This window comes from Homo sapiens, chromosome 5 (genome assembly GCF_000001405.40).
Source record: "Homo sapiens chromosome 5, GRCh38.p14 Primary Assembly".
In the NCBI taxonomy this organism is placed as follows: Eukaryota; Metazoa; Chordata; class Mammalia; order Primates; family Hominidae; genus Homo; species Homo sapiens.
In genome coordinates, this window is record NC_000005.10 from 178,859,289 (window position 1) to 178,886,569 (window position 27,281).

General features: G+C 44.7%; 1 protein-coding gene, 1 long non-coding RNA gene and 1 pseudogene across 2 annotated transcripts, besides 4 other annotated features; 2 read left to right on the forward strand and 1 right to left on the reverse strand.

Annotated features, from left to right (window-relative positions):
• Positions 515 to 1,247: an enhancer, noted in NCBI's record as "H3K27ac-H3K4me1 hESC enhancer chr5:178286804-178287536 (GRCh37/hg19 assembly coordinates)". NCBI's record gives its function as "activates a minimal SCP1, AML or CMV promoter by ChIP-STARR-seq in primed H9 embryonic stem cells {active_cell/tissue: H9 hESC(primed)}" and the evidence as "EXISTENCE:reporter gene assay evidence [ECO:0000049][PMID:30033119]".
• Positions 532 to 731: an enhancer, noted in NCBI's record as "active region_23747". NCBI's record gives its function as "activates an Ori minimal core promoter by ATAC-STARR-seq in GM12878 lymphoblastoid cells {active_cell/tissue: GM12878}" and the evidence as "EXISTENCE:reporter gene assay evidence [ECO:0000049][PMID:35858748]".
• Positions 665 to 25,732, forward strand: ZNF354B (zinc finger protein 354B). Its single transcript, NM_058230.3, has 5 exons — positions 665 to 839; positions 1,709 to 1,792; positions 6,956 to 7,082; positions 7,688 to 7,783; positions 23,421 to 25,732. Exons 2-5 carry the CDS (start codon positions 1,760 to 1,762, stop codon positions 25,001 to 25,003), a joined length of 1,839 nt encoding a protein of 612 aa, NP_478137.1. The 5' UTR covers positions 665 to 839; positions 1,709 to 1,759; the 3' UTR covers positions 25,004 to 25,732.
• Positions 872 to 1,071: a silencer, noted in NCBI's record as "silent region_16724". NCBI's record gives its function as "represses an Ori minimal core promoter by ATAC-STARR-seq in GM12878 lymphoblastoid cells {active_cell/tissue: GM12878}" and the evidence as "EXISTENCE:reporter gene assay evidence [ECO:0000049][PMID:35858748]".
• Positions 1,152 to 1,231: a silencer, noted in NCBI's record as "silent region_16725". NCBI's record gives its function as "represses an Ori minimal core promoter by ATAC-STARR-seq in GM12878 lymphoblastoid cells {active_cell/tissue: GM12878}" and the evidence as "EXISTENCE:reporter gene assay evidence [ECO:0000049][PMID:35858748]".
• Positions 3,437 to 16,768, reverse strand: LOC107986493 (uncharacterized). Its single transcript, XR_001743039.2, has 3 exons — positions 16,757 to 16,768; positions 15,058 to 15,061; positions 3,437 to 3,745 (listed from the first exon to the last, which is right to left on the reverse strand). It is a non-coding gene; the product is annotated as an uncharacterized LOC107986493 (long non-coding RNA).
• Positions 25,427 to 25,591, forward strand: RNU1-39P (RNA, U1 small nuclear 39, pseudogene; annotated as a pseudogene).
• Positions 25,733 to 27,281: the final 1,549 nt, after the last annotated feature.

Consider the following 27,281-nt stretch of genomic DNA (forward strand, 5'->3'; position numbering starts at 1 on the left):
TAAAATCAGGTTATTTGGTTTTGTTATTGTTGTTGAGTTGTAAAAGTTCCATATAAATCCAGGATACATTGCAAATCAGATATATGATATGTAAGCATTTTCGTCTATTCTGTAGATTGCCTTTGTTTCCTTTGATTAGCCAAAGTTTTTAAGTTTGATGTAGTCCCATTTGTCTATTTTTGCTGTTATCTGTGCTTCTGATGTCATATTCAAGAAATCATTGCCATCTCCAACATCCTGAAGTTTTTTCCCTTTTTACTTTAGTAATTTATAAAATAATTTGGTCTCACATTTAGGTTTTTAATCAATTTTGAGTTAATTTTTATGTATGGTGTACGGTCAGGGTACAGGCTCATCTTTTGCACGTGGAAATCCAGCTTTGTCAACATCTTTTGCAGGGGATTTTCCTTTCCCAATTGTGTAGTAGTTGTTTTCGTGCCGCCCACGCCATCCTGAAATTCACACACAGAGTTGCAAGTTACTGCCCTCCGGGAACCTCCCCTTCTCTTCCGAAGAACCAGGAACCCGGGGCTCTACAGCTCACCCGGGCCCTCTCATAGGTCTGGGCGCCTAACAGCTCAGCTGCGACCTCGCCTCAAACGCGTGGAACTACACTTCCCAGAAAGCCAGCGTCCTCCCGTGGACTCCATTTCCTAGAGGCCTTAGCGGCCGCCTTGCTCCTCTAGGTCCCAGGCGCTCTGCGGAGCTTTCGCTGCCCGGTGAGCGGCGCCGGGCTTGAGGTCGCCCAGACGTCGGAGGAGCCGGGTCACGAGGCTGGAGCTTCCTGCTTGCAGAGTGCGGCGGGGAGGCGCGGCCCGGGAACGCGGGATCCTGGGGAGGTGAGCGGCATGGCTGGCTGTGCCGGGAGGAGGCGGCGCCTGGCGCCAGGGCGACCTGAGGCCGCGGGGCTCCGAGGGCCTCTGTGGGCGCGGGGGGGCACCCCCGCGTCTGTCACCGGCCCCCGCGCCAGGACTTGGACTCTCGCCCCTCACGGGCCGCTCCGGTGCCGCTGCCGACGCCCCTGCCTCTGGCTCGCGCCGCCCGCCGTGAACGCGGGGCCAGGCGTTTCCTCCCGGGCCCACCCTGCGCGCGCCGTGTGGGCCTCGCGGACTCGGGGCGCCGGGACCCCGAGCGCAGGGCAGAGGCAGCCGGGCCCGGTTTCTGAGTCAGTCCCCAGGACGGCCACTCCTCCTGCCTCGGGACACCCAGCGCTTTCCTCTTCAAAGCCGTTTTCCGTGGAGTCGGGAGACGATTCGTTGGCGGGAGAGAGAGGAACCGGCTGGGAAAGGCTTGAGGCGGAGGGAAGTCGTCCCGGGGCCGTCGTGGTGGGAGTCCCGGCCCGCCTCGCAGCGGCGTGAACGGGGCAGGTGCCCCGGCGCTGCCTCAGTTTCCTGAGCGGTGCAGTGGGTGCTGGCAGTGCCAGCTGGCGCCGAGGAACTCAGCGGCGTGGGGCGAGCCCTGGCCCTGGTGGGCTCAGCGGGTCGCTGCTGCCACTGCGGGTCCAGCGTCCCCTCCGTAAGCCCCAAGCCTGTGGGGCCTGGGCCTGGCCGGGCGGCCCAGCGCTGCTCTGGTCCGCGGGCTCCTGGCTCCTCCCGAATCCCTGTGAGGGCGCGCGGGGTCCTTCTCAGCGGGAGTCGGGGTTTTAGAGCTGCGGATTCCAGGGCTGGAAAGCAGAAGGGGTTCTTCCTGGCTCCCTTTTTCTTCTCAGATCTGCCTTCTGGAGACTGCGCCGTCCTCCCGGGAGAGCCAGAAAGAGGACATGGCTGCTGGGCAGCGGGAAGCGAGGCCCCAGGTGAGCTCATTGCCCTCCCAGATCCCAGTGGATGGATTTTCCCCACTAACTGGAGTTCTTCACCCGGGACCATCTCCAGCCAGGATGGAGCCCAAGTCCTTTTCTCTTGGAGGAGCTGGTCCGCCCTCATGACTGGTGGATTCTGTAGGGAGGACCACCCACCCTCCCCACCCGTGTCTAGTGGTTTTTAATTAACAGTTTGTTCACGAATCTTCATCCATTGTGTGACTAGTTTGACAAGTAAGATACCACAAGTCTGTCTGTCACTAAGAGCAAACGTACACACGTGGGAAAAATCCCTGCCTCCTCCACTCACCCATGTCTCCGTTCCTGTCCTTCGCAGGAATACTTTCTCTTTTCACCCCTGAGAATCCTCATAACACCACCCCTTCCCCAGGCTTCTCCAACGCATCGTTGTTAGTTTTTTGTCCCTCTTAACTTTGTGAATCATATTCTTTGCTTGTATCACTGTCTTGAAATCTATTGTAGACCGTTTTCATTTTTGTGTAGTGGGAATGAGGAGGCCACCCTTTCTAGTTGAGACGAGAGTGAACAGAGTTGGAGAGGTCGCTTGACTCGCAGGACACAGAAGACCCCTCAGCTAGCGGCAGGAAGGGTTTCATGGGATAGCAATAGTGCAGAGGCAGCGTAGGTGGTAGTTAGGAAGTAGGGCTGTTAAGCCAGATGGCAGCGTTTTAACCCATCTCCTCTGTTGCTGTTTGTGGGCCTTGGGCTTCACCTCTCTGTGCCTCAGTTTTCTCACCTGTAAAATGGGAATAACAGCCGTGCCCACCTCCCAGCGTAGATGAAGGGATCACATGAGTTAGTGTGTGGAAAGTGTTCGGATCAGGGCTGGGCACTGAGTAGTTACTGCTCAGCATATGGTGGTTGTGTTTGCTGAGTGACATTATTGTCTTAATATATTAATGTTAATGTTGGTAGATAGAAACTGCTGTACAATGTGTTTAGGACCCAGACGATGTTATCCTTTATTCATTTTTTTATCTAACAATACTAATGTCCACCGAGTGTCTAGCATACCAGGGAATGGGCTGAGGGCTTTACATTTGTTCTCTCACTCGCACAGTAGCACAACAATTACAATTCTTGTTTTACATGTGAGGAAACTGAGGCTCAGAAAAGTTAAGTAACCTGAGTACAGTCCAAGTATGCCTGGCTCTGAGTTCCGTCGGACCACCCAGTCGTCCCTGTGGTGCGTCTTTCAGAGTATGGGCAGATGCAGCCACGCGATACCAGAGTGCTTCTGCAGCGTGGCATTATCTTTTTTTTTTTTTTTTTTTTTTGAGAGGCAGTCTTGCTCTGTCACCCAGGCTGGAGTGCAGTGGCGCGATCTCGGCTCACTGCAACCTCCGCCTCCCTGGTTCAAGCAATTCCCCTGCCTCAGCCTCCTGAGTAGCTAGGACTACAGGCATGTGCCACCACGCCCGGCTAATTTTTTTTTGTATTTTAGTAGAGACGGGGTTTCACCATGTTGGCCAGGATGGCCTCAATCTCCTGACCTCGTGATCCACCAGCCACAGCCTCCCGGAGTGCTGGGATTAAAGGTGTGAGCCGCCGCGCCTGGCGGCGTTATCTTTTAAACTAGCCAAGACAGTGGAGTGGGAGCTGAGGGTGTGGCCAGAACAGGCTATTGTGCATTTGAGCTGGTATTTGTCCTCGAAGGCATTCCTATTCCATTCTCACAGAGCCAAGCTGCTCTCCTGACTAGAACCTTCTCCATCCCTGTGTGTGGGTGAGTCTCTGTGGCATCCTTCCTGTCTGTTCTTGCTTGCCATGCGTCAGTAATGTGTAGACCTGTGTGTAAAATTCAGTGAAGGGAATTTTAAGACCAGAGAGTGCAGAGTTCACAATTAGAAAACCGGAGTTATGATCTTGCTGCTACCTCTAGCAAAGCACATGACCTGGGATCTTGGCTGCCCTGGACCTTGTGTTCTTGTCTCAGGGCTCTATGCAGATACACAGTGGTTCAAATTATTTCATGCATTTTCTAGTCCGCCAGTCAGATTATACATTCTTTGAGAACAAAGATCATGTCTTGTACTCTTCCCCAATATGCAGATAATTTGATGCTCTTTTTCACCATAAAAATATTGCAGGGTTATGGTGTAAATTTTAGAGAATAAAACATTTATATATATACATATGTATATGTGTGTGTATATATATGTATGTTTATGGATACGTGTGTATATATATGTGCATATGTATGTGTATGTTTATATAGTTGTGCATTGCATAATGACATTTTGGTCAATAAAAGACCATAAATGTGATAGTGGTCCCATAAGATTAAAACCTAGCTGAAAGATTCCTGTCTCCTAATGACTAAGTAGCTATTGTAACATTATAGTGCAGGGCTTTGCTCCTGTTTTGTGGTGATGCTGGTATAAACAGACCTACCATGCAGCCTGCCAGTCCTATAAAAGTATACAGCATATGCGATTGTACAGTTCATAATAGTTGATGATATCTGACTGTGTTGCTGGGTTATATATTTATTGTACTATTCTTGTTATTTTACAGTGTCTTCCTTTTGCTTGTTTTTTAAAAAGTTAACTGTAACAGCCTCAGGCAGGTTCTTTGAGAGGTATGCAGAAGAAAGCTTTGTTCTCATAGGAGATGACAGCTGCATGTGTGTCATTGCCCCTGAAGACCTTCCAGTGGGGCAGGGTGGAGAGGTGGAAGACAGTGGTGTTGATGCTGACCCGTGTAGGCCTAGACTAATGTGCATATTTATGTCCTAGTTTTTAACAAAAAAATTTTTAAAGTAAAAATAAAATTAAAAGCTTTTGAAATAGGAGAAAGCTTATAAAATAAGGATATAAAGAAAGAAAATATTTTTGTACAGCTAGACAATGTGTTTAAGATAAGTGTTACTACAAAAGAGTCAAAGTTTGAAAAAATTAAAAAGTTTAGAAAGTAAAAGTTACAGTAAGCTAAGGACAATTTGTTAAAGAAAACTTTAAAAAAATAAATTTAGTGTAGCCTAAGTGTACAGTGTTTAAAATGTCTACAGTCATGCACAATAGTGTCCTAAGTTTCACATTCACTCACTGCTTACTCAGCCAGGCGACTTCCAGTCCTGGAAGCTCCATTCATGGCAAGAGCCCTATACAGGTGTACCATTTCTTCTGTTTTATGCTGTAGCGTACCATGCCTTTTTTATGTTTAAATATATTTACATGCACAGACACTTAGCATTGTCTTACAGTTCTCTACAGTATTCAGTACGGTAACATGCTGTACAGGTTTGTAGCCTAGGAGTAACAGGCTGTACCATATAGCCCGGGTGTGTGGGAGGCCATACCATCCAGGTTTCTCTCTTATATTCCCATAATGATGAAATGGCTTAACAATGCATTTCTCAGAATGTACCTCCATCGTTAATGCGACACACGACTGTGTACTCTATATATTTCATATGTACAATAGAAAATAAAATCACCCTTAACCCCACCATCTGGAGATAATCACTGTCATTCAGTTTATTGAATGTTTCAATAGTTTTTTATGTATGTAGAAATTTTTTTTTTTTTTTGGAGAGGGAGTCTCACTTTATCACCAAGGCTGGAGTGCAGTGGTGCAGTCTCGGCTCACTGCAAGTTCCGCCTCCTGGGTTCAAGCAATTCTCCTGCCTCAACCTCCCGAGTAGCTGGGATTACAGGCACATGCCACCACGCCCGGCTAATTTTTTGTATTTTTGTAGAGACAGGGTTTCACCGTGTTGCCCAGGCTGGTCTCGAACTCCTGAGCTCAGGCAGTCCACCCGCCTCGGCCTCCCAAAGTGCTAGGATTACAGGTGTGAGCCACCACACCTGGCCAGAAACATTTTTTTGAATGGGGACAAACTCGAAACAGTGATATATAACCTGCTTTGTACTTAACATTTTCATGGATGTCTTTTTATGTCAACAAATAGCAATTTATACCATCAGCTCTAATGATTGCCTAATATTTGTTTGTATTAATGTGATAATAGCTGACATTGGAACCTTTAATGTGAGCCCGATATGGTTTTAAGTGCATTGTGCAGATGAACTTATTTCTTTATTAAGTATGTGGTAGATTTTGAGAGGCAGTTTTAGAGTACTTTTGAATGGAGCCCAGGACATCTGCCTGGATTGGAATCCCCGCTCTACCACTGAACAGCTGTGTGACTTTAGACGAATTTTTTTTTTCTTTTTTGAGATGGAGTCTCATTCTGTTTCCAGGCTGGAGTGCAGTGGCATGATCTCGGCTCAGTGCAATCTCTGCTTCCCGGGTTCAAGCGATTCTCCTGCCTCAGCCTCCTGAGTAGCTGGGACTACAGGTGCATACCACCATGCCTGGTTAATTTTTGTTATTTTTAGTAGAGACAGGGTTTCACCATGTTGGCCAGGATGGTCTCGATCTCTTGACCTTGTGATCCAGCCATCTCGGCCTCCCAAAGTGCTGGGATTACAGGCATGAGTCACTGCACCCAGCCAACTTTAAACAAATTGCTTCGCCTCTCAGTGACTTTGCTTTCTGTGATGTAAAATGGGAACGATAACTATTTTCTTCATAAGGTAATTGTGAAGGTTAGATACAGTATATACTAATGATTAATACAAAGCTCTAAATATAGTGTCTGGCCCATGTAAAGCATTCAGTAAAAGAGAGGTGTTCTGATTTTCATCATTATTATCCTCAAGCTTGAATCAGCACACAGGTAGTGCCGTAAGTTATTTAACCCAGCCTATATCAGTGAGTATTTAGGTTGTTTCCTGTTTTTTTTTGCTACTAACACCATGATAAGTATCCTTGTGCTTATATTTTTGTGCACTGTTTCTTACAGTAATTGGTGAGTTAAAGATTATACATAGTTCTAAGTTCTTATGTATTATAAAATTGCCAACGAAAGATTATTCTAATTAAGGGTCCCACTAATGGCCGTAATTCCTCTACCCATTTCTTACAGTGGCTGCACTAGGCCTGAATCTCACTGTGTGCTGCTCAGTATACATTTGTTACTGGCCAATTATTCATTAAAGGAATGACCTGGAACCTTCAGAAGCTTGAATAGTATGAGAAGTGTTTCACGGGTAGCGTGTCTTCCCCACTGCCGCCCCCTCCACTCTGTGAGGGTGGTCCTGGGTGAGCTGGAACGACTTGTCCTTACAGGTGTCACTGACATTCGAGGACGTGGCTGTGCTCTTTACCTGGGATGAGTGGAGAAAGCTGGCTCCTTCTCAGAGAAACTTGTACCGGGATGTGATGCTGGAGAACTATAGGAACCTGGTCTCACTGGGTAAGGAAATTTCCCCTCTAGAAACAGAATTCAAAAATTGGGATATCTCAGCACCTCCTTCCCTGAATAAAAGCAGTTGATCACTGAAAAATTTGAGCTCAGTTTGAGGATTGTACAAATCAGATCTCTGTAAATAAACATTGATAACTTAACTTTCTCCTAATAAGTATGGAATTGCTCTATGTCTTGGCGGGTGGGTATTGATAATTATCCCCTTCCTGCTGCACAATTTCACATTAGAAATTCTCTCATAGTTCAGGCAGCATTTTCCTGCTTTGGTTGTTCTGTGGTTTGTTTGCTCACCTCTCAGCAGAGGGCTTACCTCATCCTTCTTCATCGACCTACCATTGCCTTTCCCACTGCTCCTTTGCAGCCAGATGAATCTTGTAAAATCCATCTTCAAAAGGGAATCATACGATGTTTTCTCATTTTAAAAAAAGTTACTTGATAGATCATTCTATAGATGCCAGTTTATAAGTTTTAATTACATCATACATGCAACATTCCTTCTGTAGAAAAGCCACGGTTACCCTAATAATCAAGGGATACTTTGTTGTGTCAAAACGAAGACTGAGACTTTTGTTGTTGTTGTTGTTTATGTGCAGGACTCTCATTTACCAAACCAAAAGTCATCTCCCTGTTGCAGCAAGGAGAAGATCCCTGGGAGGTGGAGAAAGACAGTTCTGGTGTCTCCTCTCTAGGTAAGTGGGTGGCCCGAGGTGCTCGGGAATGGCCGCAGACAATGGTCTGGTTAATGAGAGGAGGTAGGAACATTGGTTGGGAAACTCCCTTGAGAATTCTCAGGCCTCAAGAAGTGGTGGGGAAGCGGAAGCCCAGGCTCTTAGGCAGGATTAGTCACTTGTAATCACTTCCCCATGAATCTCTCAGCATCTCTTTTCTTACTCTTTCCTGTTGTTTTAGAATAGGGCTGTATTTGCATGTATTCATTCAGCAAACATAGTATATTTAAGGAACTTCAAATAATCACTCTGGCTGAAGCTCAGGGTGTATTTGGGAAAGGAGGAGGTGAGGAAGGAAATAGCCTAGAAAGCTAGGGAAGGGCCGCGTAGTAAGTGCTTGGGCACAGTTGTAAGAGGTGGAAACTGTCCCATGGAGCACTGGAAATAATGGAAGGATTTGGGCAGGAATCATATGGTCCTTGGTATCTTAGAAAAGTTGGTGTGAATCAGAAACAGCTGAGTCTCCATCCGTGTAAGAACAGCTAAGGGACCTGTGGCGTGTCCTTACTCTGGTGAGCATCACCACCCTGAAAACAAGAGTCCAGGGACGTGGACAGAGCTCCCAAAAAGTTACAGAGCATTGTTGGGACGCCACCATTTATGTCTAATGAAAATTACATGTATGTGTAATGTGCACATAAGCAGAGAGAAAGGTTAGGAGGACACACCTTAGCTGGTGACATTAGTTACACTTGGAATGGGATTGAGAATGGGTCCATGGAAGGGGATGTTATTTACATGTAACATTTTAATTTTTCACAAAGAGAATATATTCATGACGTTGCTATGTGATTCGAATTTAATACAGATGGTCACTTTGGGAGTATCGTGATTGAAAGTGAGGCAAAACTAGAGGCAGGAAGCCTTGCAGAGCAATTGCAATCATGGAGGGAGGCAGGAGGTGGAAGGGCCTGGATGAAGGCACTTGCCGTGAGTTCGTGAGGGAGGAGGTGGCGCCCACGTGATCAGGGTACAGGAGCAGTTGGGTGTGGGATGGATTTCACTTGAGATGTGAGTGAAGTCGTCAGGTGGGGAACCCTGGTGGGCAGGTGTGTAAGTGACAGGGCCGAGACTCAAGGGAGGTCAGGGAGCCCATCAGCATGACGGGCATTAGAAGCTTGGAGCTGGCCAGGTGAGGGGGCCAAGTGGAGGCCCGAATTTCAGGAAACAGCATTTGCGAGGTGCTTAAGCAGGAGGAATCTGACAGAGCCCGAGAAGTAATCAGAGGAGAGAAACGGGGAGGGGCCATCGTGGCAGTGGGGGACTGAGAGTGGTTGAACTGGGGGGGCTCTGGCTCTGGGGGATCAAGGTTGAACCCTCGCCCACAGCTTTGTATAGCATTGGGCAGAAAGGGACACAGGTCTCCTGCTTCTGGAGTGCACGATCTAGTGGGGGACAAGGTGAACACACTCATTGCACACAAGGCACAGAAGGACACATTCCAGTGAGGACCACGTGGGAAAGACACTCGGTGCTGTGAGAGTGCAGAGCAGGCAGGTGGCATCAGCAAAGGCTTCCCTGTGGAAGGGCCTGGGATCAAAGGACTGAAGAATTGCTCAGGCCTAAAGAATGGTGTTTGTGGCCGGGCACAGTGGCTCACGCCTGTAATCCGAGCACTTTGGGAGGCCGAGGCGGGCAGATCACGAGGTCAGGAGATCGAGACCATCCTGGCTAACATGGTGAAACCCCGTCTCTACTAAAAATACAAAAAATTAGCCGGGCATGGTGGCGGGCGCCTGTAGTCCCAGCTACTCGGGAGACTGAGGCAGGAGAATGGCGTGAACCCGGGAGGTGGAACTTGCAGCGAGCCGAGATCGCGCCACTGCACTCCAGCCTTAGTGACAGAGCAAGACTCCAACTCAAAAAAAAAAAAAAAAGAATGGTGTTCGTGAAGGTCCAAAGAAGTAAAGCCAGTGAGGAGAAGGTAGAGCCAGGCACCGAAGAGAGCCGCGGGCCTTGTCATAGAGTTTGGTTGGTGCTTGAGAGCTAAGCATAGGCTCTGAGGAGCCATAAGTAGCCCAGGGCAGGCCCAGGCTGCATTCTGCAGCTGCCAGCGCATGTGAGGAACCTGACCGCCACAGTGCAGGGCTTGTCAAGTCCAGAGGGCTCAGTGATGGCCCCTTGTGCCACGGGCCCAGCGAGGAGCTGCACGGCAGGCAGCTTTGGTCCCCATAGCCCCTGTGCTGGGGAGAGCTTTCTCGTGATGATAGCTTGAACTTTTTTTTTTAAAAAGGGGAACCACACTTGTGTTTTTAATCTCCTTTGGTAGAAATACACTAATTTTATATTAAATTAAAATTTAATGAACTGCCAGAGACCACCACAAAGTAAGCCGAATGCAAGCAGCAGGGAACCAGGTGAGATTTAAGAGGGGCGTCAGTCTGGCCATTATGTGTGGGCCGAATCTTGTGTGGAAGAGCAGGAAGAAAGAAAGAGTTGTTCCCTTTCCCTTTAACTAGGGAGCACCTGATGGCTGAGTAAGTCTCCCCTCTAGAGAGAAGTATTAACAGGCTGAAAATATGACGAGTGCAGAGTTGTCCAGAGGGATGCCGGGCACCTGATAGTGTTGTCAGTCAGTCCCTTTTCAGATTGGGGAGGATGGCCCTGCGGGAAAACCCTGAGCAGTTGATTGAGTAAGAAAGGACGTCAGAGCTGTTTCCTGCCCGATTGCTCTTGGTGGGATGACCTTCGTCCTCCTTTTGTCAGATGGAAGTCAGATGGCATTCCTAGGGTGCTGACGTGCTTGCATCTCTGCTGCACCCCTGGTGGGGCTCCTGTCTGCCTGGACTAAGATTGCCCCAGGACAGCTTCCTTTTCCCATGAGTGCTCACTTCATTGAGAGCGTGGTTGAAGGACTGGGATGTTCCTGGAATTATCTCAGATTATTAACTCTAGCTCGAACCAAAAACTCAACCTGTAGGCTGGGTGAGGTGGGTCACGCCTGTGATTCCAGCACTTTGGGAGGCCAAGGTGGGAGGATCACTTGAGCCCAGGGGTTCGAGACCAACCTCGGTAACATAGACCCTGTCTGTGTTTATATAACTTTAAAAAAGAAAAAAAATATTTTAGACAAAAACCTACCCTTTGAACAGCCAGTGATAGAAAAACTTATGCTCCCCATGATAGGACTCTCTCGAACCTCCAGTAGCCTCAAAATATACTTGTACAAAGTTATTTTCTTTTGAGATGGACTCTTGCTCTGTTGCCCAGGCTGGAGTGCATTGGCGTGATTCTCAGCTCACTGCAGTGCCCTCCTCCCAGGTTTAAGCGATTCTTGTGCTTCAGCCTCTCCGGTAGCTGGGATCACAGGCACACGCCACCATGCCGGGCTAATTTTTGGCATTTTTTTAGTAGAGACCGCGTTTTGCCATGTTGGCCAGGCTGGTCTCGAACTTCTGACCTGAAATGATCTGTCCCCCTCAGCCTCCCAAAAGGCTGGGATTACAGGCGTGAGCCACCACACCCGGCCTGCTTTGTTTTCTTACTGCAAGAAGCCATCTTGGGTAGGCTGAATGGTGCAGGGTGGTGAACGGAGGGGTTGCTCAGCAAGGTTTGCTGAAGCAGCAACTGCACACAGGGAGGACTGTCTTTTCCTGATTTGCACAGGATGCTGTGGGGCTTAGCAACAGCCCTGATGACATGGCCTGGAATGTTTTAAAAAGTGACTGCTTACAAGATGGAAGTGTGGCCACAATGCCCTGTAGCCCTATTGCATTTTACTTGTTTTTGTAGAGATGGAGGTCTTGCTATGCTGCCCAGGCTGTTCTTTGAACTCTTGGCCTCAAGCAATCCTCCCATGTCAGCCTCCCAAAATGCTGGGATTATAGGCCTGAACCACCGCACCTACCCAGTATAGTCCGGTTTAATTTGTATGAGTTAGTCTTTTTCTTGTTTGCCAGCAAAGACTCGTACATATGCCCTGCCCCTCCCCTCCTACCAACATCTCTTCTCTTCATAACTTCCAGAATTATCTATTTAAAGAGTAAATCAACCATATTGCTTCTGTGCTCAAAATCTCCGTTGGTTTCCATCCCATACAGTATAGCCCAAAGTCCCCATCATGGCCTTCAGAGACCTACATGGTCTGGCCCTGGCTACCTCTTCACCCTTAGCTCCTTCCACTCTGCCCTTCATTCAAGGCCTCTGATCACCCTTGGCCGCCCTGCTGTTTGTCAGGGGGGCCAAGCAGGCCCCCACTCAGGGCCTCTGCCCTGCTTTTTTCTGTCTGGGACTGTTCTTCGTGGCAGTCATGCGTCCATGTGGCTCACTCACTTCCTTGTGCTGCACTGGCTTCGGCTCACACAGGCACAGATCATCTGACACGCAGCCCTGCAGCCCCCACGCCATCTCCTCACCGTGCTTTATTTTCCCTCTCCATGCTTAGCGCTGTGTAATAGACCTGTTTCTTCATGATCTGTCTCTGCCTCTGCATTGTAAGCTGCTGTAGGAGGGGTTGCCTCATTCATTCACTCCTGTTTTCCAAGAACCTAAAACAGTCCCTGGCCAGGGTAGGCGTCCAGTTGTATAATGAATGCACGAGTGACTTGGACTAGGTTAGTGGTGTTGGAGACAGAAAGAAGTGAACCAGTCCCAGAGATGTCCAGGAGATACAGCCAGCAGGACTTGGATTCGATGTGGAAGATAAACGAGATAGGGTTGTCAGGGATGCTTGTTTTGTTTCTGGTTTGTTCTGGGATGGCCGGTGTCATTCAATGAGATACTACCACTGGAAGGAGATTAGATTTGGAGGATGGTATGAGTTTGATATTTTTACTTTGCAGGGGAATTTTACTTTTTTTAGAAAATTTTTTATTTTAAGATAATAGTAGATTTATATGCAGTTGTGAGAAGTAGTATAGAAAGATTCTATGTCCCTTATACTCATTTCCAAAACCATAGTATAATACCACAACCAAGATACTGACATTGATACAGTGAAGATACAGAAAAATCCCTTCAGTCAGCACAGAGATCCCTCCTGGTATCCGTTTTTACACACACCTGTTTCCCTCTTGTTCACTGCCCCTGTTCCCTGCCTCTTTTCCTGAAGTCCTGATAATCACTAATGTGTTCTCCGTTCTATAATTTTATCATTTCAAGAATGTCATATACATGGAATAATAAAATGTGTACAACGTTATGGGATTTTTTTTTTTGCCCCACTTAACATAAATCTCTGGAAATTCATCTGTGTAGTTGTATACATCAGTACTTCATTTCTTTTAATTGCTGAGTCGTGTTCCATAGAGTATATCATAGTTTGTATAGCCATTCCCTTGTTGGACATCTGGATTATTTACAGTTTTTGGCATTTAAGTATAATGCTGTTATAAACATTCATGTGCAGGTTTTTGTGCAAAAATTAGTTTTTATTTCTGTGTGATAAATGCCCAGGAGTGGAATTGCTGAGTCATGGGGTAGTTGTAGGTTTAGTTTTTGAAGACATAGCCAAGTTGTTTTCCAGAGTGGCTGTGCCATTTTACATTTCACCAGTAGCATGTGAATGATCCAATGTTGTTACATCCTTGCCAATATTTTGCCTTGGTACTACTATTTATTTTAACCATTCTGGTAGGTGTATGGTGAAATACATTGTGATTTTAATTTGTGTGTTGCTAACATCTGTTGATGTTTGACATAGTTCATGTGCTTATTTGCCATTTGTATTTCCTTTTTTTTATTTTTTATTTTTTGGAGACAGAGTCTTGCTCTGTCACCCAGGCTGGAGTACAGCGGTGCGATCTCAGCTCATTGCAATGTCTGACTCCTGGGTTCAAGCAATTCTCATACCTCAGCCTCCCGAGTAGCTGGGATTACAGGTGCATGCCACCACACCCAGCTAATTTTTGGCATTTTTAGTAGAGACAGGGTTTCACCTTATTGGCCAGGCTGGTCTCAAACTCCTGACCTCAAGTGATTCGCCTACCTCGGCCTCCCAGAGTGCTGGGCTTACAGGCGTGAGTCACCACACCTGGCCTGTGTTTCTTATTTAATAAAATGTCTGGGTATTTTGTTCATTTTCTAGTTGAGTTATTTTGGAGTTTTTTACTGTTGAGTTTTGAAAGATCTTTATATATGCTGGATAGTAGTTGCCGGATATGTGGTTCACAAATGCTTTCTCTTACTCTGTAGTTTGTCTTTTTATCGTTTTTACTGGTTCTTTTGAAGAACACAATTTTTAATTTTACTGAGGTCCAGTTGATCAGTGTTTCCTTTTATGGATTGTGCTTTTGGTGTCAAATGTAAGAATTCTGCCTGTACTTAGATCATGAAGATTTTCTGCCATGTTCTTCTAGAAGTGCTGTAGTTTTACATTTTACATTTATATTCATGACACTTTTTGAGTTAATTTTTGTGTTAGATGCGAGGTTCATTTTTTTGCATGCGAATCTTCAGTTGCTCCATCATTATTTGTTGAAGTCGTCTTTCCTCTGCGGAGTTCTTTGGTGCCTTTGTCAAAAGTCACTTGGGCGTGTTGGGTTGTTTCTGGGTTTTCTTTTCTGTTCCATTGTTCTGTGTTTCTGTTCCTCTGCCAATACCACACAGTGTTGATTGCTGTATATATACAGGCTTTAATGTTGGGTAAAGTGATTACTTCTTGTTGTTTTTTAGAAAGTTTTATCTACTGTAGTTCTTTGTATGAATTTTAGAATAATCATCAATCTCTACAAAAAGAATCTTGCTGAGATTTTGATAGGAATTGCAGTAAACCTGTATATCAATTTTCTGTGTTTAGTCTTCCAATCTGTGAACATGATATGTCGTTCTATTTATTGAGGTCTTTTTTATTTTCTTCCATCAGTGTTTGTAGTTTTCATCATATGAGTCCTCTGTTTTTTTTTTCTTTTTTTTTTTTTGAGATGGAGTCTCACACACTCTGCTGTCCGGCAGGCTGGAGTGCAGTGGTGCGATCTCTGCTCACTGCAACCTCCACTTCCTGGGCTCAAGCAATTCTCCTGCCTCAGCCTCCTGAGTAGCTGAGATTACAGGTGTGCACCACTATGCCCAGCTGATTTTTGTATTTTTAGCAGAAACAGCGTTTCACCATTTTGGCCAGGCTGGTCTCGAACTCCTGGCCTCAAGTGATCCACCTGCCTCGACCTTTCAGATTGCTGGGATTACAGGCATGAGCCACCATGCCTGGCCCATTTCCTGCATTTGAATATTGGCCTCTCAAGCAAGGTTGGGTAAGTTTTCATGGACAATAGTATCCTGAAATGTGCTTTCCAAGTTACTTGCCTTCTCCCCACTTCTTTCAGGGATGGCAATGAGTCGTAGATTTTGTCTCTTTACATAATCCCTTATTTCTCAGGTTTTGTTCATTGGTTTTTATTCTTTTTCTTTATTTTTATCTGTCTATCTGGCTGAGTTCAGAGAGCCAGACTTTGAGCTCTGAGATTTTTTCCTCAGCTTGGTCTGTTCTGCATTTCAGTTGCATTATGAAATTCTTGTAGTATGTTTTTGAGCTCTATTAGATCAGTTTGGTTCTTTCTTATCATGGCCATTTTGTCTATCACCTCCTCTATTATTTTACTGTAATCCTTACATTCCTTGGATTGGGTTTCAACTTTCTCTTGAATCTTTATGATCTTTGTTCCTGTCCATGTTCTGAGTTCTGTTTCTGTCATTTCAGCCGCTTAGGAGCCCTTGCTGAGAAACTAGTGCAGTCTTTTGGAGGAAAGAAGACACCCTGGGTTTTTGATTTGCCAGAGTTCTCATGATGGTTCTTTTTCATCTGTGTGAGCTTAATGTTTCATTAACTGTGATGTAATTTGAGTATAGTCAGTTGACTTCTTTTTGAATGTTTTCAGAGGGCCAGTGTTTTATGCAGGGTGTTTATTTGTAGCTGAATTCTTGTCCTAGTTTCACAGAGGGGTATATTAGCAAAGTAATTTTGGTGTTAAAGTTTGGGCTGTGGTCTGGTAGATGGGCTTAAGTGTTATGGCCAGTAGGTAGGCTCTTACTCAGCTATGTGACTCCTCTGTATTTCCTCAAGATTGCAGCCGTGCCCCTCAGTGCTCTGAAAATGTGGGCTCCTCTCCCACTCGAGTGCTGGCTGCACATCTCAGCTTAGCATTGCCAGGCTGCCCACCATAGCTCTGGGGTGATCTTGGTTTATGTTCGCTTCCTAGCTTGGAGGCAACAGGGGAAGGGACTCCGGTTGGTGGTAGTTGTGGCAGAGAGCCTTTCACTTGTCTATGGGCCTCTACCCTAAAGAGATGCAGAACCACTGTCAATCAGTGCAGTCGGCCCAGGGTGGGTGACTGCCCTGTGCCCAAGATGGGGAAGGAGGCCCTGCCTGGTGAGGAGCAGGAGGAGCTGGCAGGGGAAGGGAGGTCACCAGCGAGACAGACTGACTGCTGCTTATGGCAACTGCAGCTTCCTGGAGGTACAGCTGAAGTACTCAGGGTTTTTGTTCCTTCCTCTGTCCAAGGGTAGCAAGGGCAATACCACTGCAGTGGCAGTGACAGAGGGACTTTCGGTTGCCTCTGTCAGCTCCACCTCAGAAACATGGAGCCACTGCTACTGGGAATCTTCAGCCGAGGGGCGAGGTGGCTACCCTGCTGGCCTGAGGTGGGGGATCTACTTGGTGAAGAGTCAGGGATTGGTTCTCACAGGGAGAAGAGACTGGGCTCCTGTCCATATGGTGACTGTGGCATGCTAGAAGCCCAGATGAAGGCTTCACTGTTTCTTCCCCAGACTGAGGGCAGCAGGTGTAGGACTGCTGCTGTGGCAGTGGCATAGGGGCTATCAGTTGCCTCTGGGAGTCCTTCCTCAGGGAAGACAGAGCCACTACCAGTGGGAATGCTCAGCCAGGGGAGGGACGGCTGTTCTGCTGTCCAAAGCCAGGGTCCCTGCCTGGTGAAGAGTTGGCTATGGGAGCTCACAAGGTAGAGAGACTGGGCTCATCTCCATATGGTGGCTGTAGTGTACTAGAGGTACCAGTGTAGCGACCGGGCCCTGTGTTCCTTCCCAACCCAAGGGTGGATAGTGTGGTACCATTTTAGCTATAGTGGTGGAGGGGCTATGGGTTCTCTCTCAGATTTCCTCCTCAGAGAAATGCAGAGCCACCTCCAACTGAAGCATTCAGGTAGGCTTGATGGTTGTGCTGGAGTCCCAGGTCGGGAGGCCCTGTCCAGTGAGGAGAAGTGGAAATGGGGACCCGTGTGGGGAACAGTCTGGCCGCGTTTTGTGAGGCAGCTGTGCACTTCCTGGAGTTCTGTTCCAGTCCCTAATCACTGTGCCCCCTCCAGAGCCTGAGGGCAACAGCAGTGAGGGCTGTGGCACAGCAAAAATAGCAGCCTGCCTCTCCCTTCGGGAGCTCTGACCTAGGGAAGTACAGAGCTGCTACTGGCCCGAGAGCCTAGGCAGGGCTGGTGTGACCATGCGAGGGTCCCAGGACGATGCATATTTCGGCCTGCTTGATGGCATCCTACATGGCCCTTAAGTTCTGTTCACTTTTTAAGTATTTTCTACTTTTTCTTCCTTAGACTCAAGGAATTTTAATTTTCCTATCTTAAACTTTGTTGATTTTTCCTATGGCCCGCTTAAACCTTTTGAATTTCCCTAGTGAAATTTTCATTTCAGTTATTATGCTTTCAACTCCTAGAATTTCCTCTTGGTTTCTTTTTGTTTTCTTTTTATTGATACTTCGATTTGTTCATTATTTTCATGAGTCATTCATATTTCCCTCTAGCTCTGAGCATCTTTATGATAGTTGTCTTTGTGTAGCATGCCACCATCTGGTCTTCTCCATAGATGTTTTCTATTTATTTTTTTCCATTGACTGAACCATACTTTCCTATTTTTTTATGCCTTTTTTTTTTTTTGTCTTACAGTGTTGCAACTCGGGATCAGATTTTCCCACTTCTGTAAGATTTGCTGGGTTTTGTTTTGTTTTGGTTTTTGTTTTCTTATTGCTGTAGGGTGGCACTAGTCCAGGAATTAGCCTGAAGTATAACCTGTAGGTCTTCTCACATTTTTTTCTGAGCCCACGTCTTTCCCTGGCCTTGTGCAGTGACTTTCTAAATTCCCCATGTGTGCAGTTGTTCTTTGTTTTGTTTTGTTTTGTTTTTGAGATGGAGTCTTACTCTGTCACCCAGGCTGGAGTTGCAGGGGTGTGATCTCAGCTCACTGCAACCTCCACCTTTTGGGTTTAAGCGATTCTTCTGCCTCAGCCTCCTGAGTAGCTGGGATTACAGGCACCCACCACCACACCTGGCTAATTTTTATGTTTTTAGTAGAGACAGGATTTCCCCATTGGCCAGGCTGGTCTCGGAACTCCTGACCTCAAGTGATCCGCCCACCTCAGCCTTCCAAAGTGCTGGGATTACAGGTGTGAGCCACCAGGCCAAATGTCCTTATCCTTAATGTCTGATTCCCCAAAGCAGAAAAAGAGGGGAACAGAAGGGGAAAAAAGTAGGCACTGTTCCTTAAATCCTCTGGAAGCCACATCAGGTCAGTGGGGATTGCAAAAATGGCAGCCTGCATTTGTGTTTGCACCTCCGTGATTCAAAGCAGTAATTTGCAGTCAGAACCCAGATCCCCATTATTTGGAGAACAAGGTCTTTATTGCCACTTTGGCCACCAAAGGCCACGCTAGGGATGCTAGTACGGCTTCAAGCCATGAGATGAGGAGATTGGAGATGGGTAGCTGCTGCCAACTAATATTAATTTCACTTGACTGGCCAGGCCTTCCCCTAGAAGCTACAAGCCTTCATATAGTTTCCAGAGTTTCAAAATAGTTGTATCAGACAGATTCTGACACCTCAGTTGTCTAGGTGGATAGATAGAACCTTGGTGCTTCCTACTCTACCATCTTCCCTGACATCTACTTTTTCTTTTACCTTACATTTATTTTGCACTTTTGGCATTTTCTGTCTTTAAGTATGTAAGTAGTATGCCACCATCTGGAGTTCTGATGGGGAGGTGCTACTGATGTCTATTGGGTAGTATGCTGAGGGTGAGGTCTTGCATAAAAGTCACAGTTAGGCCGGGCGTGGTGGCTCACGCCTGTAATCCCAGCACTTTGGGAGGCCGAGGCGGGCGGATCACGAGGTCAGGAGATCGAGACCATCCTGGCTAACATGGTGAAACCCCGTCTCTACTAAAAATACAAAAAATTAGCCAGGCGTAGTGGCGGGCGCCTGTAGTCTCAGCTACTTGGGAGGCTGAGGCAGGAGAATGGCGTGAACCCGGGAGGCGGAGCTTGCAGTGAGCCGAGATTATGCCACTGTGCTCCAGCCTGGGCAACAGAGCGAGACTCCGTCTCAAAAAAAAAAAAAAAAGTTACAGTTATGAAGTTAATTCTTATCATTTGGGGAAGAGATTTTGATAGGTTGCTTGTCACACATCCATCATTATCTTCAGCTACCCAGAAGGCTTTGTTTGATATTTACTCTTTAAATGTACATTTTATGGCACTTAACCTCGGTGCCCATTTAGGTCTCTTCCAAGTATACTTTCCTTTCTTTCCTGTTCTAAAGCCTTTTAAAATAAACTTCCACTCTTGCTCTGAAAAGAAATAAACATACATTTTGTCATTTGATAAATGTTTAAATTTTCCACTTGGAGGTTTTTTTGTTTGTTTTGTTTTGTTTTGTTTTTTTGAGATGGAGTTTTGCTCTTGTTACCCAGGCTGGAGTGCAGTGGCACAATCTCGGCTCACTGCAACCTTTGCCTCTTGGGTTCAAGTTATTCTCTGCCTTAGCCTCCCAAGTAGCTGGGATTATAGGCATGCACCACCACACCTGGCTAATTTTGTGTATTTAGTAGAGACGGGGTTTCACCATATTGGTCAGGCTGGTCTCGAACTCCTGACTTCAAATGATGCACCCGCCTCAGCCTCCCAAAGTGCTGGGATTACGGGTGTGAGCCACCACACCCGGCTGAAAGTATGTTTTTAAAGTATATATTTTTTAGGACCTTGTTGTTTGTGTGTGCTGCTTTTTTTTTTGAACTGGAGTCTCACTCTGTTGCCCAGGCTGGAGTGCAATGGTGCCATCTCGGCTCACTTCAGCCTCTGCCTCCCAGCTTCAAGCGATTCTCCTGCATCAGCCTCCCGAGTAGCTGGGATTACAGGCATGTGCCACCACACCCAGCTAATTTTTGTGTTTAGTAGAGATGGGGTTTCACCATGTTGGTTAGGCTGGTCTCAAACTCCTGACCTTAAGAGATCTCCCTGCCTCGGCCTCCCAAAGTGCTAGGATTACAGACGGGAGCCGCTGTGCCCAGCCTGTGTGCTGATTTCTTTGCAGAAACCAGAGTTGTTTTTGTTTTTGTTTTTTGAGATGGAGTCTTGCTCAGCTGCCCAGGCTGGAGTGCAGAGGCCCAATCTCGGCTCACTGCAATCAACGTTTCCTGGGTTCAAGCCATTCTCCCGTCTCAGCCTCCTGAGTAGCTGGGATTACAGGCACCCGCCATCATGCCCAGCTAATTTTTGTATTTTAGAAGAGAGGGGGTTTCACCATGTTGATCAGGATGGTCTTGAACTCCTGACCTCCTGTGATCTGCCCGTCTCAGCCTCCCAAAGTGCTAGGATTACAGGTGTGAGCCGCCGTGCCTGGCCCAGAAACCAGAGTTTTTAAATTGCAGCTTTCTTAGTAGGCATGGGCTATAAAAGGAAAAAGATTAACCCACTCACTCCTGTTACAAGGAAGGACAGAAAGTGGAAGAAAACTTCATTTTTAGTTTTGTTATGGAAAAGTTCGAGTATATATAAAAGTAGAGAGAATAGGCTGGGCGTGGTGGCTCAAGCCTGTAATCCCAGCACTTTGAGAGGCCAAGGTGGGTGGATCACGAGGTCAGGAGATTGAGACCATCCTGGCTAACACGGCAAAACCCCGTCTCTACTAAAAATACAAAAATTAGCTGGGCGTGGTGGCATGTGCCTGTAGTCCCAGCTACTTGGGAGGCTGAGGCAGGAGAATGGTGTGAACCCAGGAGGTGGAGGTTGCAGTGAGCTGAGATCACGTCACCGCACTTCAGCCTGGGCGACAGAGCGAGACTCCGTCTCAAAATAAATAAACAAAAAAGTAGAATAATATAATGACTTCCCATGTATTCGTCATCCAATTTCTTTTTTTCCTTTTCTTTCTTTTTTTTTTTTTAGACGGGGTCTCACTCTGTTGCCAGGCTTGAGTGCAGTGGCACGATCTTGGCTCACTGCAACCTCTGCCTCTTGGGTTCAAGTGATTCTCCTGCCTCAGCCTCTTGAATAGCTGGGAGTGTAGGGGCACGCCACCACACCCAGCTAACTTTTGTATTTTTAGTAGAGATGGGGTTTCACTGTGTTGGCCAGGATGGTCTCGATCTCCTGACCTTGTGATCTGCCCACCTCAGCCTCCCAAAGTTTTGGGATTACAGGTGTGAGCCACTGCACCCGGCCTCCTCTTTTTTTTTTTTTTTTAAAGACAGGGTCTCTTTGTCACCCTGGCTGGAGTGGAATTAGATAATCATGGCTTATTGTAGCCTCCTGGGCTCAAGTGATCCTCCTGCCTCAGCCTTTTATGTAGCCAGGACTGCAGATGAGTGCCACTATGCCCAGCTAATTTATTTTGTTTGTTTTAGAGATGGGATCTTACTGTATTGCCCAGGCTGATCTCGAACTCCTAGGCTCAAGGGATCCTCTTGGCCTCCCAAATTGCTGAGATTAAAGGAAGGAGCCACTGTACCTGTACCCAGCCCATCACCCAATTTCAGTAGTTGTCAACTCATGGTCATTTTTTTTTTTTTTTTTTTTTTTTTTTTGAGATGGAGTTGCACTCTTGTTGCCCAGGCTGGACTGCAGTGGTGTGATCTTGGCTCACTGCAACCTCTGCCCCCAGGGTTCAAGTGATTCTCCTGCCTCAGCCTCCCTAGTCACTAGCATTACAGGCGCCCGCCACCAAGTCCAGCTAATTTTTGTTATTTTTAGTAGAGACAGGGTTTCGCCATGTTGGCCAGGCTGGTCTCAAACTCCTGACCTCAGGTGATCCACCTGCCTCAGCCTCCCAAAGTGCTGGGGTTACAGGTGTGAGCCAGCACGCTTGGCCAACTCAAGATCATTTTTGTTTCATCTGTTCCAGTGATTATCTACCAGGACTGATTCTGTCATTTGTCAATGTCTTGAAAGATTTTTGCTTGTCGCAAGCCTGGAGGGAGGAATTGTGAGGGGCAGGTGCTATGATGTCTGTTGGGTGGAGATCAAAAGTATGCTGCTAAACATTCCACAATGCACAGGGCAGCCCACCCTATCCACACAACTAAAAAATCAGCCCAAAATGTCATCTGAGGTTGAGAAATCCTTATCTGTATCTTGTCTTAATGCACTGACATTTGTATAATGTTATTACATCCAAGAATAGGAGAGGTGATTATTTGTTCAGATATACTTTAATGTCATTCATCTGATATACTTTAATGTCATTCAAGACTGGTATAAAATTTCCCTTATATAGATTTTTCATATTACTTGTAAATTTACTGTGATTCTTAGTATAAATGAAGGCTATTGATTTTAATATGTCAATTTTATATCCAGCTACTTCAGTGAGTTTTATCATTCATTCTCTGGACTGTTTTTTTGAGATGGAGTCTCGCTCTGTCACCCAGGCGCAATCTCGGCTCACTGCAGCCTCCACCTCCCAGGTTCAAGCAATTCTCCTGCCTCTGCCTCCCGAGTAGCTAGGATTACAGGCGTGCGCCACAATGCCCAGCTAATTTTTGTATTTTTAGTAGAGATGGGGTTTCACTGTGTTGGCCAGGATGGTCTCAATCCATTCTCTGGACTTTTTAATATTATCTGCAAATAGAGGTAGTTTTACTTTCTCTTTACTCATATCTAATTGATTTATATTGCCTGATTGCATTGGTTAATATGTCTAGTACAGTGTTAAATTGTAGGGAAAATAATGGGTGTCTTTGCCTTGTTCTTCAGCATAGCAGAAATAGCTCTAGTGTATTTAATAGATACTAGCTTTAGGACAAAGGTCTATGTATTCTATTATGTTGAGGAAGTATCCCTCAGTTCATTTTTGCTTGAGTGTGTTTATTGTCTGTGGTGCTGAATTTTGCTGAACATTTTCTCAGCATCTCTAGATGTGTATTATTCCTTACTTAAATGCATTTAATGTACTATAATAAGTGCTATAATAAGGGGAGTGAGTTGTTGGAACTCAAAGTTAGGAAAAGGTACACAGAGGAGTTAACATTTGAACTGAGTCTGAAGGATACAAAGGAGTTCAGAATGTAGGAAAAGGAGGGAAGACATTCAGGAGTATAAATAATTACAGGAATGGGGTAATTTATGAGTCCATCATAGGCTTTGGGTACTAGATTATATTTCCTAAATTCATATGCCTCCTCCTCCTCTGATCCTTCTGCTCCATTCTCTTGGTCACTCTTACACACTCACCCGCCTTAACTGAGTTTGTTTTATTCATTTGTTCACTTATCAGTTCAGCTGTCATCCATTATTTTATATAGTGTTTTTTAGAATTTTATCCTCTTTTAGTCATATAGCAAACCCTTACTGAGATACAATTAATCCCTTCTACACATTTAGTCTCAGCCAATCACATGAATCATGGGCTGTTGCTTTCTTTTTTTCTTTTTTCAGGATGTAAGAGCACACCTAAAATGACAAAGTCAACTCAAACTCAGGATTCATTTCAGGAGCAGATAAGGAAAAGATTGAAAAGGGATGAACCCTGGAACTTCATATCAGAAAGATCCTGCATATATGAAGAGAAATTAAAGAAACAGCAGGACAAAAATGAAAATTTACAAATAATTTCAGTTGCCCATACAAAAATCCTTACTGTAGATAGAAGCCATAAAAATGTTGAATTTGGCCAAAACTTCTACCTGAAATCAGTCTTCATTAAGCAACAGAGATTTGCTAAAGAAAAAACTCCATCAAAATGTGAAATACAAAGAAATAGTTTCAAGCAGAATTCAAATTTACTTAACCAATCAAAAATCAAAACAGCAGAGAAACGCTATAAATGCAGTACATGTGAAAAAGCCTTCATTCACAATTCATCCCTTCGTAAACATCAGAAAAACCACACTGGAGAAAAATTATTTAAATGTAAAGAATGTTTAAAAGCTTTCAGCCAAAGTTCTGCTCTTATTCAACATCAAAGAACTCATACAGGAGAGAAACCCTATATATGTAAAGAATGTGGGAAAGCCTTCAGCCATAGTGCATCCCTTTGTAAGCATTTAAGGACCCATACTGTGGAGAAATGCTATAGATGTAAAGAATGTGGTAAATCCTTCAGTCGAAGGTCTGGGCTTTTTATACATCAAAAAATCCATGCTCAAGAAAATCCCCATAAATACAATCCAGGCAGGAAGGCATCCAGTTACAGCACTTCCCTTTCTGGAAGTCAGAAAATTCATCTCAGAAAGAAGTCCTACTTATGTAATGAATGTGGCAACACCTTTAAGTCTAGCTCATCCCTTCGTTATCATCAGAGAATTCACACTGGAGAGAAGCCTTTTAAATGTAGTGAATGTGGGAGAGCCTTCAGCCAGAGTGCCTCTCTTATTCAACATGAAAGAATTCACACCGGAGAAAAGCCCTATAGATGCAATGAATGTGGGAAAGGCTTTACTTCTATTTCACGACTTAATAGACACCGAATAATTCATACTGGAGAGAAATTGTATAATTGTAATGAATGTGGTAAAGCCTTAAGCTCCCACTCAACACTTATTATTCATGAGCGAATTCATACTGGAGAAAAACCATGTAAATGTAAAGTATGTGGAAAAGCCTTCAGACAGAGTTCCGCTCTCATTCAACATCAGAGAATGCATACTGGAGAAAGACCCTATAAGTGTAACGAATGTGACAAAACATTCAGGTGTAACTCATCGCTTAGTAATCACCAGAGAATTCATACTGGAGAGAAACCATATCGATGTTTAGAATGTGGGATGTCTTTTGGCCAAAGTGCAGCTCTTATACAACATCAGAGGATTCATACAGGAGAAAAACCCTTTAAATGTAATACATGTGGAAAAACTTTTAGACAAAGCTCATCACTTATTGCACATCAAAGAATTCATACTGGAGAGAAACCCTATGAATGTAATGCATGTGGGAAACTCTTTAGCCAGAGGTCATCCCTTACTAATCATTATAAAATTCACATTGAAGAGGACTCCTTAAAAGCCGATTTGCATGTGTGAAAGCCTTAAACCAAAACTCATCAGAGAATACATGCTTGAGAGTGATTTATTAAATATAATGAATATGAGAAAACTCTTAGTTCTCATCAGATACTAAGTTTTAAGAATAAACTTTAGCTATGTAATAACTTATGGGAAAAGCTTTTATACTTGTCACTCACTTTTTAAAATATCCCGAGACAGTTCACTGTTGCAGACATTGAAATTGGCCATTTGTAAGATAAAAGGTATGTTTATAAAATCTCTTTATATAATATATGCTATCTATGACATGCAAAAAAGAAAAGTCTGGGTGCTGAGGTGCTGAATTTTTCATTAGAAAAACATTTGTATAAACTACTATTATATAAATATAAGCATATTTATTACAGCAAACATTTTAATAGCAAACAAAACAATTGATCTTAAAAATATATGCAATATATACTTACCTGGCAGGGAAGATTACCATGATCACGAAGGTGGTTTTCCCAGGGCAAGGCTTATCCATTGCACTCCAGATGTGCTGACCCCTTCAATTTCCCAAAATGTGGAAAACTCAACTGCATAATTTATGGTAGTGGGGGACTACATTCGCACTTTCTCCTGAAATATATATATATATGCAGTATTAGAGCAAAGGACCAATAAGAGATAAAAACTAACTGAACTACCTCTTAGTGCCTGGAATTTACCTTTTCCTGACTTACTGTCAAACTTCGTGCATGGCTTTTATTAAAAAAGAAAAAATCTGTTCTCTTCTTTGTTGTAGTCATGTCCAAACAACATCTAATAGCCTCCCATATTTTCTATACATTTCCTAGTTTTGTTTTCAGAATTTTTTCTTTATTGTCTTGAAGTCATATTTATTATGAAACCATACTTGCTATGCTCTGAACAGTAATGTTAGATAGTTTAGGTTGAAGCATTTTGTTTGTTTAGGCAATCACTTCAAGGTTAAAGCTATTAATATTTTTTTAGTTGGCTGCAGATGAAATCCTAATTGTTTAAAGAGCCTATCACTTGTGACAGTCTTCAGAAGGAATCAGTTTATGAAATAAAAGTTTTTTTTCCTCGTGGGGTTTTAAAAGTTTCAGACTGCAAAGGAAATTCTTTAAAAATAATTGTAAATTTCAAAACTGATTTACTTAGAAATGTTTGTTTAAGCCTGAGTTTGGGCCAGATATTATCCTGAGCGCTAGAAATTGTATAGAAGAAAGAAACAGACCTTAAAGAAGTCATGAATTGAGTGGGTGGAGAAGAGGAGGTTAAAGGGAGTAAGCAAATCATAATGTGTTGGGGTTTTCACAGATAAATAGTTAAGCTGTGATGCTGTGTTGCAGAATACAAATGGAGAGATTTGCATGGGATGCAGAAATATGGAAGACTAACCAAGCAGACCAGGAGAGACCAGCAATAGTGTCCCAGAGACCATGATGTCTGAGCCCAGTTTTGGAAGAATAGTAGGTATTCTTCATGAAGTGAGATCCTGAATAGAGGGAGCCACATATGCAAAGGTGTAGGGTGGGTGGGTGACAGCATATTACATTTGTAGAGAATCTATAGGAAGTAATGAAAAAGAAAAGCTTGAGAAGAAGGCAGTGGCTAGGTAACAAAAGGTCTTACTTGCCAAACTAAGGAATTTGAATTTTATTCTGAAATTTAGGGTACTAAGTAACGACTTTAAGTGATGGAAACTGTATTGCACGAATGTGTAGAGGATGAATTTAGGAGATTGAAGACTGCTGAACAGACTGAAGCCTAGAATTCAGCCTCCAGTGATGGGTGAAGGAGGCTCTAAGCTCAAGCAAGGATAGTCAGTGAAGAATATGTTGCACATGCTAATGTAGTAAGAATAGATAAGGCATAGTTTTTGCAATCAAATAATTGGGGAAGGTGATTGACACACAGGGTAGATTAACTTTACCTGGATGGATGGTGGTGTGATATGCCTTGTAGGCAATATAGGGGTAAACAGTTTGATTTTATACATGTTAAATGAGTCATCCAAACCCAAAAGGTCAATTTGAGCTGGATGGCTTGAGTTAGGAGTAATTAAGATATAGTTAGTGAAAAGCTTGGCACATGTAAATTGGCCATGAGAATGTACAGATTAGAATGAGAAAGGGATCATGGATACAACCCAGGAAAACATCAATATACAAGAAGTAGATGAAGGAATTGTGCAAAGATGAAAAGGAATGGCCCTGTATGTAGGAGAAAAGGCAGAAGAGTGATGTCACTGAACCCAAGGGATAAATGAATCTCAGATGGGCAGTAGTGTCAGGTGCTATAAAGG

What these genes read in the sequence shown, in the direction of transcription:
- ZNF354B (NM_058230.3), top strand. Translation starts at nt 1,760, where the DNA reads ATGGCTGCTGGGCAGCGGGAAGCGAGGCCCCAG. An exon ending in TAGGAACCTGGTCTCACTGG is followed by an intron (nt 7,083 to 7,687) that starts GTAAGGAAATTT and finishes GTTTATGTGCAG; the next exon opens with GACTCTCATTTACCAAACCA. An exon ending in TTCTGGTGTCTCCTCTCTAG is followed by an intron (nt 7,784 to 23,420) that starts GTAAGTGGGTGG and finishes TTCTTTTTTCAG; the next exon opens with GATGTAAGAGCACACCTAAA.